The sequence below is a fragment of the Homo sapiens genome, chromosome 13 (assembly GCF_000001405.40).
Source record: "Homo sapiens chromosome 13, GRCh38.p14 Primary Assembly".
NCBI lineage: Eukaryota > Metazoa > Chordata > Mammalia > Primates > Hominidae > Homo > Homo sapiens.
In genome coordinates, this window is record NC_000013.11 from 85,517,769 (window position 1) to 85,539,580 (window position 21,812).

The 21,812-nt window shown below is 33.0% G+C and overlaps 1 long non-coding RNA gene across 1 annotated transcript in view; it reads left to right on the plus strand.

Annotated features, from left to right (window-relative positions):
* Positions 1-21,812, plus strand: part of LINC00351 (long intergenic non-protein coding RNA 351) — a 181,060-nt gene that overhangs the window by 154,166 nt on the left and 5,082 nt on the right. The window contains exon 2 of the long non-coding RNA NR_046989.1: positions 15,308-15,435. This is a non-coding gene — a long non-coding RNA (long intergenic non-protein coding RNA 351). The remainder of the gene's footprint in view (positions 1-15,307; positions 15,436-21,812) is intronic.

Genomic DNA, 21,812 nt, shown 5'->3' on the forward strand with positions numbered 1-21,812 from the left:
TTTCATCAAGTATACAATGTATTTTTTACCCTATTTTAGAAAATAATTTTTCCACTAATACGTTGTAAAACTTTAACAATATGTCAGAACAAAATGAAATATAAATAAATACAAAATCCATACCTATTAGTTTATCTTAATTGCAATGACAACTGATTAGCCACACTTGAAATCCTGGGAATCACTCTAAAGATATTCTTTTTCTTTGCTTTGCACAATAAGGTGTATAATTCTACCCTACAAATAGAGAACCTTACATTCAAGTAGGAAATGCATTAACAAATAATTGAAATACATTCTCTTAAGTTCTATATCAAAATATGTGTGTGTGTATATGTGTGCTTTTGTGTACATAAGCACATATGCATGTATATATAAGACTACACCACACATGTAAGGGCAGTTATACACAATGGTTGACATAAAGATACAATCATAAACAAAGGTGAAAATGATCAATTATAAATGGAACTGTGGCTGGTTCAGTGGCTCATACCTGTAATCCTAGCATTTTGGGTGTCTGAGGTGGGAGGATACATTGAGCCCCAGAGGTAGGGGCTGCAGTGAGCTGTGGTCCCACTGCACTCCAACCTGGGCCACAGAGTGAGACCTTGTCTCAAAACAAACAAACAAAAACAAATGCTTGGAATGATGAAATAGGATGCTTTATTTAGGTAAATATATACAGTTGACCCTTGAACACTGGTCTGAACTGTGCAGGTCAACTTATATGTGAATTTTTTTTCGACTAAACACAGACTGAAAATGTGTTCGCCAGATGAAAAACTTACATATGCTGAGGGCCAACTTTTCACATATTGGGTTCTCACAGGGCTGACTGAGGGACTTGAGTACATGTGGATCTTGCTAAATTTGGGAGGTCCTGGAACCAATACCCCATATATATCTAGGGATTAATTTACTATGACTAGCAGAAGGGCTAACAATAGGCTACTGAGTTTGAGATAATAGGAAGGAAAAAGTCGCATTGATCTTTCAAAGAAGTATGAGATGCAGAGCTACTGAAGAGTTAAAATAATTTAATCTTACGCTTCTATAAGATTTTTAAAACGTTATTATTAGAGAGTTTAGGGCAGGTTACAAGGAGTGTCTTATAGGGGCAAGAAGACAATTTAAGAGAGATCTTTGCAGTAGCCCAAGTAGGAAAAGATGGATTTAAGCAGTAATTGTGGTCACTCAGAACTGGCAACAAATGTGAGAACTAGGAGACATCACTGACAGAATACAGCATCAGATGAAACGTGGAGTTTGAGAAAGAGGCAGGTCGTGTTTAACATTAACATTATTTTCATGTTGCTATTAATAAAAACAAAAATTATAGAAGCATAATGAGATGGTAATGGGGGAAACCTAAGTACATATTTTTATTAGATTTGAGAAGCTGTATCAGTGTAAGTGTAAAATACAGGGCTTAGTAAAACAGACGTCAGCTTGAATAACAAAAATTAATGAACCTTCCTCTGTGTCATGTTGGGTATGTTACTTAATTTCTCTGGCCCAAGTTTCATTCATTGTATAATGGGACAATAATATTACCTATTGGTTAGTTGGTTGTGAGAATTAAATATTACAGAATAAAAAAGGTAATGTTTAAAATGGCACCAGGCCCATGGGAAACATTGATTAATGTTGAAAATTATTACTATCTGTTAAAAGTAAATCCCAACAACTACCTCATTAGGTGGTTGGGTATATATATATATATACAAGATAATGTTTTAAAGCTGTCACACAGCCTGACAAGTGTTATGTGCTCTTTTTTTTACAAACAGTAGCTGTAGTTATTATAGGCGTCAAGATATCTACATGGAAACAGAGTTGACATGTGTATATGAAGTCTTTAAAAAGATCCATGATAGAAATACAGATTAAAATTCTGTAGGTAGTTGTTAGAGGAAAGAGTGCCTAGATTATATCACTTGGTGAAAAGAAAAAGGGCAAATCAAAGGGTAGAATCTTGAATAAACACCAAAAGGTTAAAAGAAAGATAGAGTAAATATATTTGGTGAAGATAACTGCCTATAAGCAAATTAGTATTCTATATACATGGTATGTTACATACAATGTACTGTGGGGTCTGGGGCATACTTCTGCAGTAGATATAGGACTGGACACACTCTTCATGTAGTAGGGAAAGACAATTCATGTCATTCACACTCGTTCGTATGATTACGTTTGTCACAAATACAATTTCAGAGCTTTTTAAATTTTAAAATTGTGGAAAAGAAATTGAAATGCTGATATTCAGATAGGATTGCCAAACATGGTAGGAAAATAGCATATAAAATTTGCCTACTTATAAGTCAACTTAAACGGCTTTCATGGTACCTGAAAAATAGGTCAAGACTAAGGCAAAGAGTGTGAATACCAGAAAACTTGGACAGAGGAAACTATATGGAAGAAAGAAGAAATAGGACAATGGTAGCTGAAATTGTGAGTAGAAATGAAGACTGAGTTTTGTTTAAAAAAGCAAAACACAGAGCAGTAACAGAGAGGTGCCAGAGACTAAGTTTATAAATAATGGTTAATAAAAATAGCTAAAAATATAACCCTACAACCCCTATTCCAGATAAAAGAGAAAAAATTAAACACAGGGTTGTTAAAAGGAGCATAGGAAAGAATATAAAAGAATTTATCTATTCTTTATTTTCAATCACATAATCCTAACAATCCTGTAGTTAGTTTGAAAGCCAGAACTTTTTTTTTTAAAGATCTATCAGTTGGAAATGTCCATATTCAAAATATACAAAGTAAGACTTTCATAATCTTTGATTTTGTAATAGCCTAAGAATGGTTCAGTGTGTGTTTACTTTCAGGGAAAGAAGTGGGGAGTGTAACTGAAATTTTACTTCATTTAATCCTTGGTTCCAAATAGTCATTTGGTTGCCAAGAAAATGAGCTCATTTTTCTTCCTCATGACTTTGTGTTTGCTCTCCTTTACTCTGTGAACATTTTAATAATAGGAACCTTGTTGATCTGGGTTTTTTCTAATAAGCATTTTAGGTGCATATTTTGCCTGCATCAGTGGAATAAATTTTAAGAAAAAATTTTGAGCTGATTAGAAGAAGAAAATAATTTATAAGGATCTCTCAAAGCTGTATTTGGACTTCTGGAAAGTCCTTCTTTGTGGGGAGTATAATGGTTTATATACGTCTTCATTTTTTAATTTATTTTACATGAAGTAGTTGCCACATACAATTATAGTTGCAAATAATTCTCTTAACACTCTATTAAGTCAAGTAATATGAGTAAACAAAAGTGATTCACAGGATTTCACTTTGTTTTATAGAAATCATGGCCATTTCAAACAATGACGTAGAAATTTATTATAAATTTTGGAAAAATATTTGGGGCTTAGGTGAGAGTAATAATGATGTGTCCAAGATTTAGGTCCATGCTATCTTAGGGAACACAAGAATGATAGAAATGCTTTACTTAGTATTCTGGTGCATATATCCTAATACTCTTTCCCCCAACTTTGAAATTATTTTCTAATGCACTGTACTTACTATATTTAACTTTGTTATTCAGTGTATCTTCTACTTGTGAAATATTGTGAGTTTGTATGCATAACGATCTCTTAATTTTTTAAGATTAATGAAATGATAATAGTTAAGAAAGATTTCTTTGGGTGTTCAATTTATTTTTAGTGCAAGTTTTGAAGTTATGCACATTGTGTGGGAAAGGTCCCACTGATTGCTTTTCTGAAGGAAATTTTGTGGCAATACAATTTAGGTATTAATATTGCATATTACTGAATGAAATCCTGGATGAATATATACCTGCATTGATTGTCATGAGAAGTATTAGAAATAATCGTCACCACCCAATGAAGGTTTTTGTTTTCAAAATTCTTCACAGTTTCCTGAATGGATCTTTATATTCTCAGAATATGACCACTAGAATTAGTTGCATGGAACAACAAACATTATGAAAAGCCTAACCGTCACACCATTTACAAAGCAAACATGAAAATGATGTGAGATATGTCAACGTACAAAGCACAGATGGTGACTGAGTGCCAACATTTTAAGTGATCCTTTTCAGTTGATCATGCATAATTTAATATGTCAGTCATTTAAGGCTCAATAGGAAACAGCAAACTTGTGGGAAGTAATTCAAAACAAACCTCTTGGAGCCAATATTAACAATAAGCAAACTACAACACAGCAGGCAAAAACTATTATTGGATGACTTTCCTGCATTTGGCTTTCCATTTGAAAATTCTGTATTACTCTTTTCCTATTCCAAAGTGACCCAGAATTCAAAGAATGTAATGTAGTTTTTATTCATTTTGATGAAAGTTAGCTTCTTGACATTAAAGTATTTTTGTAGTAGCCAAATGCAGATATAAATGGAAGAAACATTAAAAATATGATGATTTTCCTACATATGTAAACCTTTATTGATGAAAATATTAATAGATGTGTATAAAGTGAAAACTTAGAAAACCTGTAGATATAATTAAGCATTTCTTTGTTGATAACTGTTACTACATTTTTAGTTTCAAGTAATGTTATTCAGTAATGTTATTCAAATGATTTTAGAGTTAAGTGAGATGTGGACAGTGTAGTAAACTTAGCTGTTCTTTAAATTTTTAATTTACAAAAGTATTTTAGATTTTTAAAAATTAAATTTACCTGTTCTATTCATTGTTGTGTAAAACTGGTAGGTATATGCTGACACAGTTTTATTTCTCTACCCAAGTTAATTCTACTATAAAAGGTAGTGTGATTAACTAGTGATACATAAATTTACATGTGTATAATTCTTTTTAAAGATATTGGAACAAGAAAGAATAAGAGACTTCAATATTAACAACTACGCTTAGCCAATAAAGCAGTTATGCCATAAGGACATAAAAATATTAAGGTGAATTTTTAAAACTATAGGGAAAAAAGTGCTCTGCCAGCCCCATTAGATGAAGCTATAGCAGCACAAAGCTGTAGTGTAAGAGGTTTGCATATGTTCAGGGAAAACCCTAGCAGGAAGAGACTTTCAAAAGCACTGAACATTTGAACTGCTTTCTCACCATAAGTTTCTAGTAATTGTGGCTGGTGGCCCAGGATATTAGATGGTCAGCCGGGCCACCTGCACTTGTCATTGCTTAAGAGTAACTGCAAGCCTGCCTAATATCGAAGTGTTGGAAAAATCAGGTATAAATAACAAATGTAAAACAATGTTAAATCTCCTTTGCTTTGGCCCATGTATATCTTAGCTACTTTTCATCTTTCCTATATCTACTATGTTAATATAAGTATAGCTTTTCAATTACCATCACATGCAAGTAAAATAAATAACATCTCCCTTTCCCACAAACCTATAAAGTGTTGAATACAAAGATGAACAATATGAATGAAAGAATATCTGAATAGGCTATGTTTAAATATGGGAAATATTGAAATTCACCAATTTGTGGTAGAACATTATGATTTGAACAATATGGAATTCAGATGCAAATATAGCTCTGGATATATTAAAATTTTAATCCTATTTCAATAAAAAATATGATATTTAATACATGTCACAAACCATTACATTGAAAGATTCAAAGGTTATAATGTCAAAACTGGAGATTGAAAGCTGGAAAGAGTAGAGACTTCCGTAATGCTATTTTTTTTTTTTTATTTCTGTGTAGCTTTAAAACTGTACTTGGAAATTAGAACAAATTCTAGCTAAGCAAGGAAAATGGTTGAGAAAAGCAAAGGGTCAGTCCGCTTTACTTTCTTCTTTCTTTCTATATTTTTTCCGTTTGTCACTAAGTCAGAAGAAAAGCCAAACAGAAGGCTCAGGGTAAGCTGTGTTTTGGAAATTTTGACAACAAAACACATAAAGCATATGTTCTTAAGAGATTTCAGAAAAATGTAATCTTTAACTATAGCTATTTAAATGTAGCACTGATAATTAAAATTAACTGACAGCATTCAAATTTTTTTAGGGTGTATTTGGGATCATGGATAGCAAAGAACAACATTTTTAAAATTCTTAATTTCCCGGGAATAATAAAGTGTATATTTTTATACAAGACTATATTCTCTGAAAACATAATATAATTGTAGTATGTATTTAATAAAATATATACTGAATTTGTTTATATATTTAATATGTATTATCAATGCATATCATATCCTTTTAGTATATGTTTATTTTATATATACCATATATGTTCTCTTACAAATATGTACTTATTATAAATATATCTGTTCTCTTAAAAGTTTGAACCAGCATATTAAAATGTTGAAAAAACCTTACAATTAAGAAAACTGCTTAAATTTGTTTTACTCAGTATTTCATACATATCTCTATGTTTTTTTCTTTTCAACCAAATAGCTATTAGAATATCTGAAAGATCCAATTGTGAATTAAAGTAAAAATATCTGTGATTAGTTTGGTTTTGTAGATGTTTAGTTTCGTTATAACATATTGTTCTTGGCTCTGGGAGGTTGACAGGTGTTATCACAAGCTTCACACTCTAAATAATTATCTCCTGTTGTCCCATATTAAGGGGAAAATACTTAACAATAATTGAAAGTTGAACATAATTATTTCTGCTAGACAATGAGCATCCTAGCATAATAATTGGAATTTTTTTTCCTGAGTTTTAATTCTCTTCATCAAGAAAAGAAGCTAATTTTTAAAACTTTTAGCAAGTATTTATATTATACATGCCATGGGTATATACATTTTCTCCAAAAATAAATGTCTGATGTTATCAGTCTGATTTCACACTGCTGATAAAAACATATATGAAATGGGATAAATTACAAAGAAAAGGAGGTTTAATGGACTCAATTCCAGGTGGCTGGGGAAGCCTCACAATCATGGCAGAAGGCAGAAGGCAAGTCTTACATGGCAGCAGGCAAGAGACAGAATGAGAAGCAAGTGAAAGGAGTTTCTCCTTATAAAACCATGAGATCTCGTGAGACTTATTCACTATCATGAGAAGGGTATAGACGAAACCGCCTCCGTGATTGAATTGTCTCCCACCGGGTTCCTCCCACAACACATGGGAATTATGGGAGCTGCAATTCAAGGTGAACTTTGGGTGGGGACACAGCCAAACCATATCACCAATTAAAGTGAGTTTGCTATCGTTAGCATGAGAGCCATAGAATAACTGTCTTTTCCCATAGGTGCAGCAACCTGGGATTTGATATCAGAATTTCCACAATGACCTTGTCGGCTTTTTCTGTGGACTCTACCCATAAGGGAAGAGTATGTTCAACCACAAATTATGTCACCTGAATGGCATAATGTCATAGGCTCCTCAAAGTGTCCAAATATCTACTCTACAAATTGCCCTCACATTTTGACAATTGTTATTAGGATAAGTGTCCAAATATCATTTTAAAAACAGAAAAGACAACATCATTCATTATAGTAGTTTTGTGTACATTACACACCTAGGATTGTACAAGCATTTGCCTCACTAAGCCATCATTTAAGAAGTTATTAATTGAGACTTAGGAGTTAAATAACATGCCAAGTGATACACACTAGCCAGCTGTTAACCTGGGATTTAAACTAGAATTCTAACTTTGAAGCCTGTATTATTATTCTGCATTGTTCCATCACATCATATTTTATCAATACTATTGTTAAGCAGAAGATGCTACTAAGTGACAATTAAATTAGAAAGACTGAATAGAAAATGAAATTTCTACTGGATTTACTGAAAATAAAGATGCTAAGAAATGTTACTACTTTTTTTTTGAACTAAGGAGAATTTTAAGATAATAAGATCCAAATTCTTTTTTTACGAAAGGGAAACTTAAAGTATGTGTGACTAATTCCAAACTGCACAACAAATAGGGATTAAAACGGATGTCAGTTGACCTCTATCAGCCTTGACAGAAAGAGAAACTACTCTTTAGTTTTAGAGTTATACTCACTCTTCATTTCCCTTTCTTTATTGGAGCATAAGCAACTCTTCTGGCAATAATGCCTTAAATGTTGCTTTAAACCTGGCTTCTAACTCACCTCATGAGGATATTTTATCATAGGGAGTGGGCAGAGGAAGATAGTCAAGAGTGAGTATGGAAGAGAACCAAAGACCAACTTGCTTCTCCACTTAATTTTGTGGTAAGCTAAGCCTCTCTGTTGACTAAAGCAGTATATGCTGTAGAATATACTCAGTCACACTGTCTAATGGTGCCTTGCAGATTTATTTATATGTGCTTCTAATCACGACTATTTTCCCTGCTGGAAACTGAAAGTAGAATTGGCCCTCCTTTCCCAAAGAAGCCCTTTCTGTATTCTTCATACCCAGGGGACTATGGCACGATGGATTCAGTAGATTTCACAAAATAGAAATTGAACATAGTCAAGTGAAAAATACAGTCTGCAAATGTGAGAAAATAAATTAGGATAAACACTGGTAAGTTTTACTGTCAGAAATTAGTTATTTTTAGGATCTGATATCAGAAGGGATTCATCAAACTATGAATGAGCAGCTAATCACAAAAGAGCAGAGCAGGGGACCACCTTATCTACTGCATAGATTCTAAACTAAACTTACACATTCTTAGTTTTCATGCAGGTCATTTGAAGAACTTTGTTGGCATAGGCAGAGTGCATCCCCTATACCATTCTTTAGATTATCTCTTCCTGTTAGCTATTAACATGGAGGCCTCATGTTCAAGAGCCATTTGGAATCATCGATTTGATACATGAATCAATATAGCCCAGGAATATTATAGGGATCCTCACTAAATATGCACACACAAAAAAACTTCTGTAGTGTTAAGTAGATAAGAGTAGGGTTGTTACTACATCATAGTTTATAACATGCTTATACAATGAACTCAACAAAAACTTTCCATTGCCTAACAAAAGCAAGTGAAAATTAATAAGAGATTATCCTAGACATGGACAAATAGTCCCTTTGAGAGGGTACTTGCTTCTATGGTTGGAAATAGGTGTAAACTCAAACACTGAATAAGATTACAACCACCTTACCTAGTACCAGATCATAGACATCCTATTGGCCAAAGCAGAAACCGACCATCACTAGAAACTCTCTGCTGTAAATAGGGAAACAAAAACCAGAATTCTGGATTTAACTCCATGTTGGTCAAAGCAAAAACTGACCATCACTGGAAACTCTCTGCTTTAAACAGAAAAACAAAAAAAAACCCACCAGAATTCGGGTACCAACTCTCGGTGCCCACAAGGAGCTGATCTTAAGCTGATCCTATGTTTTTCAATGAAAATTATAATCACTGACTAGATTAAGAAGAGGACCCAGAGGATCTACAGTTAATTAGCTAGGACAGGATTTTACAAAGACATTCCAAGGAACAAATAGTCCACAAGATGCCTCCAATAAAGCATTTATAGGCAAATACGTTTGGGAAATCATAGAAATTCAGAAAGCACATTTGCATATTAAAGTCTCCAGTTAAGACATCTGTGCAACTTTGCAGAATGTGAGTTTATTTCTAAATTTATTTGTTCATTGTATTATTTATTTTTGTAAACTTAGTTAATATTGAGTTTCTGGCATTTCCGGAATACCTTTTAGGAATGAAACTAATGTAGAGATCTCTTAGAGTGATGCAGTGGTAACCATGGCTATAGAAAAACACTGTGAAAAAGGAAATGTGTTATATCAAAAAAGGATAAGTCCGAACAGTAAAGCCACATCATACCAAGTTGTATTCGCCTCAACACACTAAAGGCGAAACCATGCGATTGACCTAATCCTAGCAGCAATGGTAGTTGCAGCTGTCAATATATGATCTCATCATGGTAGGAATACAAACATTCTACCTTTACACACAGAAATTGATATGAAACCTGGTCATTTGTATGCCTTTAGGTCATTTTTAGAGATTAAGTTATTTATGTTGTCTGATAGGAATGTCTCATGTTGACATTTTTGTCTTTTATTACAACTTAAAACTTCCACTTGCTATATTGAGATCAACTTGCTTCAAAATAGGAAGCTGGCATGAACAACTTTGACTGTGCAAAGGTTTCTTTATAGGGTCTCAAGACAATAGCAAGATGAGTTTTCTAAATGATAATATGGATATTTAGTGGCATGAGCATTCTTCAAACAAAGATTAAAATACACATGCCAAGAAAGGGAGAAAACACAGTGAGGGAACTAATCACAAGTACCACTGAATTTAGGTTCCTGTTTTTGTGACTTCAAAAATGTACCTTCTAACAAAGCAACAGGAATCTATCCTTGAAATGCTAGTAGGTCTTTTCTGAGTTAGTGATAGACAGTGAAAGCCTTTCTCAAAAAACAAAACAAAACAAAACAAAAAACACATATAGCTTCTGTAAGATACTTGGGAAAGCTCACAGGAAAATAAGAATATGGTCTTCCTGCAAATAATGACAGCAGGAGCTACTTCTCTATATTACTCACAGATATAGATATAGAAAATCTGGAATAAAATGGCAAAATATAAATAATAATTGTCTTTGTGTAAATAACATTTTGAGTGATTTATTTTCTATATTTTGTGTTCTCTGTTGCCCCCTTTTCAAGATAAGTACTTATTATTTTGCCAATCATACAAAGTAGAAAGATATTTTTATAAAATTAAGAAAAAAGATGAAAGCAATACAAAATTCTGAGTGGTTTGACAGGATTTTACACAAATCTCAGAACAGATAGATCCAGACGGTTAATATCATGATATCTAACATTTCCATATAAACACATTTTATTTATTATTTGGGAATAAATAATGAGATCCTCAGCTTTGCCTGTGGAATCAGACCTTGGCAATCAGCACTAGTTTACTTTCTAAAACAAACATCTGTTTTTTCTCAGGTTACCACAGAATCAATTTGAAACATAGTCACCACTGATGAGTGGACAACCTGCTATTTCTTTGACTGGTTTCAAATTATTGTAGTCCTTTATAAACTTCTTTTTCTTCAGCAGCCTGTGTTATTGCCAAATTCCTTAAGAAGTTTCTGCAAGCATCATTGTCCAGCAATGTCCATTAGAAAATGCACAATGTTAGGAATGCTTTAGATTGTTAATCTGCCTTGAAGCAATCCTGGATCATATCAAGAAGATCCGATTTCAGCCAAGATAGGAAGTTGAAAATTCTCAGCGAAAATTGATCATGAAAGTGTATTAGTTTAGCAAAATGCCAATCAAATGATGCAGGCAGAGATGAGCTAGAGAGGCTAATGAGGAAAGTGAGCACATCTTTGGCACACTAACAGATAGCATATTGTCCTCTGGCTTCCAGCTCATACTTTCTACTTAAAATAAAATTCTCAGACAATTCCTCGGTTGTGATACACTGTGAGCCCAGTGGCAATGGAGTCACAGGCATTACAATTTAGCTTTATGGGGCTAGTCTGTAAAAGAGGGTGAATGACAGGAAGTCAAACCACATACTGACTGATAAGTTGAAGAAGGGTGATCACAAACAAGTCAGGCAGAGAAAACATCACAAAACCCCATTATTTGGCAAGTTGAAGCAGTGTGAGACATTGCTGATGGCTGAGAAGTGACAGCAGGGAAAGAAAAAGAAATATATAGTAGCGTGTAAGCTACTGAATAGGGAAAGCTCGATTTGTGCAAAAATGTCATGAAGTCCTTGGGGCAGAGGCAAAAGCCTGCATGATGACAGGTCCTGCAAGCAGTGGTCATAGCCAGTGACTAAGAAACAGTGCACAAATATTCTCCTGCCTGAGCTGCATTGCAAATAAGAAGTTTATGTTTTCAACCAAGCCCATAGAAAAATATTGACATCAAATATTTTTAAAGATGGGATCCTAAAAATGCTATCTTTTGCTGAGTCACACAGAATAGTAATGAATTATAGAGTCGTCATTTAAATTGTAAAGTATGGTTTGTCTGATATAATTACTGAATTGTAATTATGCACAATTAGTGAGATTTAACACTTTTAATTGCTTAAATATGTAAATGGAATTCATTCATTTTCTGTACAGGTGCACTGCTATGAGAGTTTGCAAAACAGCTGTAAAATTATTGACAGTTAAATGAAAGAATAAAGAATGCTTTTACATACCTGTGCTGACATGACACCTCTCCTCTTCTTTCACTGATATCCACATACAGTTTCAGAGACAACACATATCTGTCACTGAAAATATTTTTGACAACCTATCAGAAATGACCTTTCCTGACAACCTGTCTCCAAGAAGCTTGTCCTTCAGGGCTGCTACAATGGCCAATAAGACACACTTGATCCATTGACTTATTTAGGAAGTGGAGTGGACAGAGCTGACTACGTAACAAGAGCCGGGCAAAGTAAAAAGGAGGAATATAGAAAAACTCCAAGATATGATGCTGGGCAAATGTTTAGATGGTGAATCCAAATATAGGTGCTCAATTACTGTAATGCATCATTTTAAACCTAACATGCCAGTAGCCTCTTCCCTCTCAACATCACCTTTTTACTACAGCATATTCAGAGGGTATCTAGTAGAACTGTGGTTCTATATGTTACTATGTGTTACATAAAAATGTCTTTTGACAGTCTGAAATTATTGTGAAATACTAGGTTATGCAAAGTTAAGCACCTTATAAACAGTACGTCAAAGACTTTCCATATTAATGTGTGTATTACACATCTTCAAGAATGATTATGGGATGTAACTTCCTGACACCCTGATTTGTCTAAAACTTATTTGCTAGTTGAACTCCCCCACAACATATTAATGTGTGCATTACGTATCTTCAAAAAATGATTATAGGATGCAACTTCCTGACTTGTCTAAAACTTATTTGCTAGTTGAACTCTCTCATGACATTTTTTAACAAACTAAAATTGCGGTGAAAAAGGCTTCAATCAGCTATTTTCTGTTTAATAATTTAGGGTTATCTGAATATATGTATCTTTCTTTCTCTCAACTTTAGATTCTTTGAGGGGAGCAGTGGGATATTGCCCACCTCTATAATGCTGGGACTTAACGTAATTCTTTAACATAGTGAAACTCAATATATGTTTATACAATTAATAAGCAAGTGATGATGATTGTAATTCTAACACTGTATCACTCTCAAATTAATGTGATGCTATTTTTTTCCAATTTCTGCCAACTTGGGCATAATTTGATAAATCTTGAAAACACGAACATAGAAACAGCTGTTAGAAACTATATAATATTCATTGTCTAAAATTCTTGACCCTTGTGTTATCCTGTATACATATCACTTAAAAACTAATTTGTATAGATTTGATATCTCCAATTATGGTAATCATACATAATTAAAACACACATACTTTCTGGGATAGACTTGCTAAATAAATGTAGTTGAAACCTTTAAGGTGACCCAAAATGAGACACATCCTTGTGTAAGCCCATCCTCTTGATCCTGTGACATGCTTCTACTCAAGAGAATATGGTAAAGGTGATGAGACATCATAGCGATTATGCTTTCTTATATGGTAAAAATGAGATATTTTGTTGATGTTATTAAGGTCCCCAATTGATTGCCATTCAATTAATACAAAGGGAAACTATTCTAGGTATGACTAACCAAATTATACTTTGCCTTTAAAGCAAACAAACAAACAAAAAACTAGGTCTTCCCTGAAGGCGGAGACTCAAAGCAGCAGAAACTCTTTCTTTCCACAGCTGGCTTCTAAGAAGCAAGCTACCGTGAACTATACAACCAAACAAAATAAATTCACTCACCAGGCTGGAGAAATGGATCCTTCTCTAGTCTGGCTTCCAGATAAGAACACAGCCCAGCTGATACCTTCATTTCAAGTATTGCAGACCCTGAGCAGAGAACCCAGATGTTGATCAGAAATGCCCTCGTGTTGGACTTACAGGAAATGATCGAACAAAACATGGATATTGATTTAAGATGCTAAAGTTGTGGTAATTTATTACACAGCATAAAATATCGATATTTGAAAATTAAAGCTCAGGGAAAAAATAAGTTTGTTTTTAGTATATGTATGTCCCAAATATTACATGGGGCAAAAATATTTGTTTCTTACCTGAAATTTGAATTTAGTAGATAGCCTGAATTGTATTATTTATTTGTTTGCTTATTTATTATTTTTAAATCTGCCAATCCTACTTGGGAAATTCTGTTCACATTTATCACTTCTTCAACTCTACAGTTAATTCACTAGTACTTACCATTTAAAGTTTATTCTGGGAAGAGTAGTAAAATCTCAACAAACTATTCTAGGGGAAAAAATTGAGGCCACAAATTAAGGAAGTTTTAGATTCATATAGTGTAGAGAGCCTGTTTTGCTTTACCATTTTTATCCTAGCCATACCCACACATGCCAATAATTCAAAACAGGTTGTCACTTTTAAACACACACATACACGTAAACACACAGCCATTAAAACACACCCCTAAAACCACATGCTGTGCAATAGCTTAGTTCTCTCTAAAGAATATTTTGTAGAATTTCCTTTAAAATCAAAATCAGAACAATTAAAATATTTTTAAAGTCTATATTCATTTAATTTCCAAATTTATCTTAATGTCACAGGGATCCAAGTAAACTAGTAAAATAATCAATACTAGACTTTTGGATTACAGTTGTATTTTCTTTAAACATGGTACCTGCCATTAAGTTCCCAATACATCCTGAGAATTTCTCTATAATGAGGCTATTGTTTTAGACTTTAGATGGCCTTTAAACGAAAAAGAGCCCAGGTTTTGATGTCGGTGAAATTCTGTTTAATCCTATGTTCTTACAGTTGTTCTAAATACAATTCACTTTTTATATATTCACTTCAGGAGTTTATGTAATATATCTGACAGAACTATGGTTATTAGAGAGAGAAAAGCAGAAAAGGGACAAAGGCATGGTGATCATGAGAAATGTGTATAGGCTTGTACTCTGTCAAACGCTTTCACCTATGTATCGTCTCTTTTTACCTTTTACCTTACCCAGATGCTATGAGGCAAGTAAGGAAGATGGTATTAACTTCATTTTTCAGAAGAAGAAAATGAAAGAGCAAGGTTACATAACTCACGATTTGGCACTTGAACCCACAGCTTCATGTAAACTATTTTTTTTCCAATTTATTTTGTCTCAATTACTTTCACTTAGAGCATCTCAATTAAGGAAACCCTACTATTTATTTGTAAACCCCTTTCTTTGTGTGAGGCTACTTGAGAAGAAAAAAGTAAAAGACAAAATTTACAGACACAAATACTGATTCATAATATTCCATTGATGAATAGGAATTCATGGATAGAGGGCAAAGAGCTAGTTCAAGCAGAAAATGGCTTATATCCTGTACTTCACCAGGGAAGTAATTCTGATCTCGGTTTGTTTTGTTCATTCCTCCATCATTGTAGCATGACTATGAGATCTCAGCTATCCAGCTGTCACAGAGGAAGTGGGAATTTTCAACCATGAATGTCAAGTCATCTTTTCAATGTGAAGGTTTGCTACTGCCGAATAAGAAACACCATTTTGTTTTCAGGTATGTGAGAGTAAATCATTATACAGAATACCAGATCTCCATATTTTAAAATATGATAATGATAAAGTTATTTTATCCTGTAGAAAGACTGTTGATAGTTAAGATCAGTCTAGGGTTCACACTGGTGTAGAGGATTAGATCACCTCTTCTTTCTTCTTTTTTTTCAAGGGTCTATTGAAAAGCTCTCAGTCTAGCTGGGTAGCTCACTCTTTGACGTGTAAGTTGTTCTTCTGTTACTGAGACTACAAAGAGGTTAGTTTAACCAAATGTAACCTTTCTCTTCATACGCAGTAATGAATGCACATGGACTCTCACTTAAATGTCATTGTCACCCGGATGTTCACATGAGATAGGCAAAAGTAGTTCACGGCAAGGGAAACCACTTCAGCCAATAAATATCTGTGATGTGTAATGCCACGTTACCTTTCGAAAGAAAGAGGTTTTTTTTTACATGTTGAGGATTTTATTTGTTTTGTTTTTTTTGTATTATATCCCTTAGTCATATACATTTGAAAAATGGCTGTACATATTACAAATGTCATATAATTAATTTTAAATGGAAAACAATAAAACTTCTACATAAATCATCATTGACATTAATTTAAACATGGTCAATGCATCATTTGAATTCTAGGTAGTTCCATATACTGTTTCGCAGATGTGTCTTAATTTTGTGTCTGTTCAGAAATAACTAGAAAAATATTTAAAAGCTTTTTACATGGCTAAATATATAAACATATTTTTACTATAGGATTTTTCATTCCAACATTTGGTTTTTAAAATGTCACAAACAATTGTTAGTTTCCTGAGAGATAACCTAATTTGGGCGGTGTGAAATTCATTGGTTTTAGGTTCACATGCATTTCAATGACTTTTTTATTTTTGTTATTCATCTCAATTGAGTTTTAAGTTATATTTCCTTTAGTTCTTAGCCTTCAAACTTTAAATATGATTCAATTACCTCAAATTCTGGCAAGGACTAATAATATTACATTCCCATAGGGGAACAAACAACCATTAAGTATTGTTGATATATTTTTCGTATGAAAGTAAAGCAGTATAAAATTAAATTTTATTATTAATATCACTGGCAGAATAAATTATTCCCAAGGGTCAAATTATTCTATTTTATATGTAGAATCTAAATTTTGCATGATAATCTTATATTTTGCCATTGTAGAAGTCAGGCTAATTTTCTGATCACAGCTATAAATATTTATCCTTTTTATTTTCCATATTGTGAAGATTTGTTAAACGAAAATAGATTAACTCATTTCTATCTGACCTTATTACAGATATGCTAAGGAAAACATTCCTTGAAATTTAAATCTGGCATAATTCAGAACAATTACTATCTAGAAAAATCAGCAAGTTTTCCTAAATCTTCTGAAGAAAGCTTTCTGATCTTCTTTATTATAGTTTTTGAAATTTTATTTTTTTTTTAAGAAAAGGTAATATAATGCCTATTATGAGCCAGCCACTTTGGAGATATTAACACATTGAATCCAAATAACAACTCTATGAGTACTAACTTATTTTGTAATTGAGGAAACTGCATCACATCAAGATTGGATAACTTGCCTCAAGAGATACATATATGACTTTAAGAGAGCATCAATGGAATATTAATGAGGAAGAGAAATTAGAGAAGTTTATTCTCTAGAATTCTCTACGCCAGCGTTTCAAAGATTTAGTTCTATATCTAACATTAAAAAGAGGCTTGAACATGCACATATGTACACACACACAAACACACACACACTCTACAACTTTCATTTAATCATATTTTAAAAACACTATTTAAAATGTGTCCCTTTTATTTGACCAAGGCTTTATTTCTTTCACATAACTCTAAGTAATGTCTAATGAGACACTGATATTCACTTCACCTGGCTAGGCCAATGCCACTCGGCTCCATATGTCTCCCTGGACCAAACAATAATGTTGGTCCACAAACTGCCATCCAGTTTATAAATTAGAGCCCAAGTGTCAGGCTGCATCTAGGCATATGGATAGCAAACTTACACTAGGGAGGACTAAAAATCTTTTCTTCCTGCCTCTGAAATATCCTTGCTTACACTCTTGTAGGAGGAATTCAGCTAATATCATTCTAAATATTAGCTCAGCAATTTTTTTAACAGCTGTACCCCTGGATTTTCAGTTTATCCAAATAAGCGGAATCAAAAGATGGCTTGTTGAAATTTAATTTGTTCTTGAATCAGCAAAGGAGGTCATTTAAGCATAAAAAACTTTTTCCTAGAACATATCTACAAAACGCAGTTCCACACCACTGGGCACAGGAAAGCTTCTCCATGAACAATTGGCTCCTTAAGCACAGGAGAGAGTCTTGGCCTGAATTCTAAAGTTGAGCTGCCTTTCTTCATCATATTTAGAGGAGGTGCCAAAAACTCTTCATCTATGCTACGTATATTCTGTCTCTATGTATGAAATATTGTACACCAACCAAGAATAAAGCTTTAGTATTTCTTTCCTATAATGGATATGAGTTTGCTTTAGAACTTTCTGTTGTGTAATATTCATATATAAGATATGACTTCACAGGAATGGCATAATTTATAGTAAAACCATCACAACCATTGGAACAGCAATAATGCAGAATTGTGTTTCTGTAATTCACCACTTTGAATGTGGGTAGCATACTGCATTTTATCAGTGATGACACTCCTTAATAGCCATTTTATGTAATGAGACCATCTGCCAATACTTTACCAAGCATTCACTACTCTTCTAAGTGTTAAAAAAAAAAAGTACTTAAAATGCTTTTTTTTTTCTGTCTTTGCAGCGCACAGCTTGTTCCTTTAAAGCTAGGGAATTTCAGAGGTTTGACCTATTTCAGAATATTATTCTCTAGCCTAAGTTCTTTGACTGCATCCCTCTTTAGATTCACATCAAACTAATTCTGGATAGAGTTTAGTGATCTTTGACATCAATATAATAACCTTTGATGCAAAGAAATATATAATTCTATTCACTAAATTACAACCAATTACATTTAGACCTTTGACCCAGTTAATAACTTTGAGATCAAGCAAAACAATTGGAGGAACGGAACACTTTCTTGATCATTGCCTGCAATTTTCTATGAATTGAAAATTTTACAGTGAGCTAATTGGTGGTGCACTGACTTCCTCCCAGAACTGAGAAGCAAAGATACATTAAAATAGTTTACAAAAATTGTATCATTAAAAAGTACAAGATTATAAAAAGATAGAGGACATAAGTTATATAATATGCATTTTATGTAAAGATAGTATCATAATTACACACTTTTTATTAGAAACTGTAAGTGAATTTACTTTGCAGTTTTCATATTAGTTAGGATTCAAACTTCTTTTATGTCCTAATTTATGTCTTATAACTGGACTAGAAATTTAAATACAGTCATACACAGCAAAATGACATTTATGTAAAATACAGACTGCATATACTCATAAGATTATGATGGAACTGAAAAATTCCTATCACCTAGTTATTTGTGTTATAGTTGCTTACTATATTGAGTACAATAACATGCTGTACAAGTTTGTAGCCTATAAGCAATAGGTTACACCACACAATCTAGGTGGATAGTGGGCTGTATCATCTAAATATAACAAGCAATAGGTTATACCACACAAATCTAGGTTTGTAGTAGGCTATACCATGTTAGTTGGTGTAAATGCACTCTATGATGTTTGCACAATGATGGAATAACCTAACAATGCATGTACTCTCATCATTAAGCAATGCATGACTATGTTTTTTAGTTTATTTTTCCTGCTACAAGAAAATATCACATACTGGGTAATTTCTAAATAATAAAAAATTGTTTCTTACAGTTGTGGAGGCTAGGAAGGCAAAGATCACGGTACAGACATTGGTGAGGGCTGCTCTCAACTTCCAATATGGTGCTTTGTTGCTGTGCCTTTGTATGGCAGAAGGTGGAAGAACAAGATAGCACTCTCTTTTACCTGCAGCCCTTTTATTAAAATGCTAATCCTATTCATGAGGGCATAGCTGTAAAGACATAATCACCTCTTATTGGCCGTATCACTTAATATTGTTGCACTGGGAATTAGGTTTCAACATGAATTTTGGAGAGGACATCATTATTCTACCATAGCATTCTGTCTTATAGAAATCATACCTTCTTCAAAGTTGCCATTGTTTTAGAATATATTTGACATGTTCTCTGTAAAGAGTATTAAGATTTTTCTTCCTCAACATTATTCTCCTTTTTAAGTCAAGATAAGAGGAAAAAAATAATGTTTAAATTCAGGTAACAGATTGCCAAACCAAGAAATGTTTTCTTGTGCAGAATATGAAAAATCAAGTTAAGATAAAAATAGAGCAATTATTTGAAATGGAGGAACCATTTTAGAGTGACGATATTAGCACCGACATAATAAACCTTTGAAGATGTTTGTTTATTTTTTGGTTCAGTTAAAACTCTGTTCTATAATAGAATAGAAATTGTGTCCAACTCTTTATGGAACTATTTGTTCCATTCACGATAATTACTATTGAAAGTATTTCATTCATCCAAGCAACTGTATCTGTAAGCCCTGGGCAATAAAAGTTGCCAAGGATTTTAGGCTAAGATCCAATGTATATTTATCTGGAGTTTTGAGAAACTCCTGGAAACTAGGCCATTCTCATGTTATGTATATTAACAATAGTTTCCCATAAAGGATCCTAGAATAAGACTGTTCCCATGAGTTACACTTAAAAATGTTTTCCACATGCAGAGCTTACACTACATATGAAACAAAAAACTTGAAAATAAGTACAAATAACATCATTCTGAAAGGTACTTTAATGAATCTGTGAATGTGTTGTTATTAATTTTATTGTGTTAATTTCTAATATGAACACATACAAAATTATAGGTACGTTAGCAATTCAATTTTGAAATCAGATAGCTTTATTTTTCACAAAAGGGGATATGCAAGTAATCACAATCATATAATATTTATTTCATTGACTATGTATTTCTTTAGAAATGGTATGCTTATGTAATTTCACTACAGATCCATTTAAAACCATTTTATTGTCTTCTCTAACATAAAATCAGTGGTATCATTTCTGTTATTATATTTTTAAGGTTTTACCTATATGTGTTATTTATATTTATGTAATTATTTTAACTTTATTACAATTTTTCTGTGCTTTTGTGCAATTTAGATCTCCTTCCTAAAATGTGTGTGTGCGAATGTTTATCTGTATCCATCTTGCAAGTTAGATCCCTCGTTTAGCTTCTCCGATTTCTGTCTCACGTAGATCTGTGTCAAGATCTATGCTATCTAAAGGTGGGACAGTGATTTATTTACGTTACCAGTTAAATAGAGCATTTTATTTTTAGTCAGTCCTTTTTGTACATGTGGTGTTTATAAATCCAAGGTATCAATGGCTCAAGTACAAAGTCAATTACAAAAAACAATTTGACTTCTGATATGTGAGACGTAGGGGAATGTTTGAAGGCATTAATATTTGTAAATAATTATATGCTGGGCACTCTGTAAGTACTCTATTGTTGCTATTTATTGTTAATTAATTTTTCAAAAATAATTATTGTGTACCTACCTTTTTATCAAGTATATTTAACATTACACAAATATACAAAGGCTTCAGCTTCATGGGATTAACATTCAAATAAACAATCCAGAAAAATCACTTAAACTCACTAAGATTATCAGTGGACTGGGTCGTACTGTTAGGACTAAATACAATATATAATTGCAATTTACATAAGTGTATGTCTTCATTGCCTGACAGCCTTCTAGGAGCTAGAGATGGAACAGGAAGAGAAAGGCAATGATAGGGCTATGATTATAGGAAAGACTAATCGAAGGGCAAAGAGCAGAGGCAGCTAATCTGTCTAAGAAGGGATGAGGTGAAGGTAATGCCGTGGAAGGTTTTCCACAAGAGTTGATAACTAAACTGACAGCTGAATTATGACTAATTGGAGTTAGTCAGAAAAATGAGATGAGGTAAGAAAGGAAAAATGTTCCAGGTAGTTACCGCATTTATGGTACAAAAAAAAACAAAACCTGATTAACTTGGTTAATTTGTCTGTTAGTTAATTATCAAAACTTTATTTTATCACGTAAGACATCTGAAACTCATAGAGTTTAAAACATGTATTGACCTAGGTTCACCTAATTAATGAGAGAGCCTGAATTGAAACCTATTCTCTCTGACTGTAGAGAAGAAAATATTCTTTCCAATTTGCCACCATGATGGTACATCATGGTTTGAGTTAAAAAACCTAGACTAATCAACTCTAGAGAATTTGAACATTTTATAAATTTTTAATTTAAAATGTTGCATATGTTAGTAGTATTAATATTCCTGTATAATACAAAGTAGTAGACAAT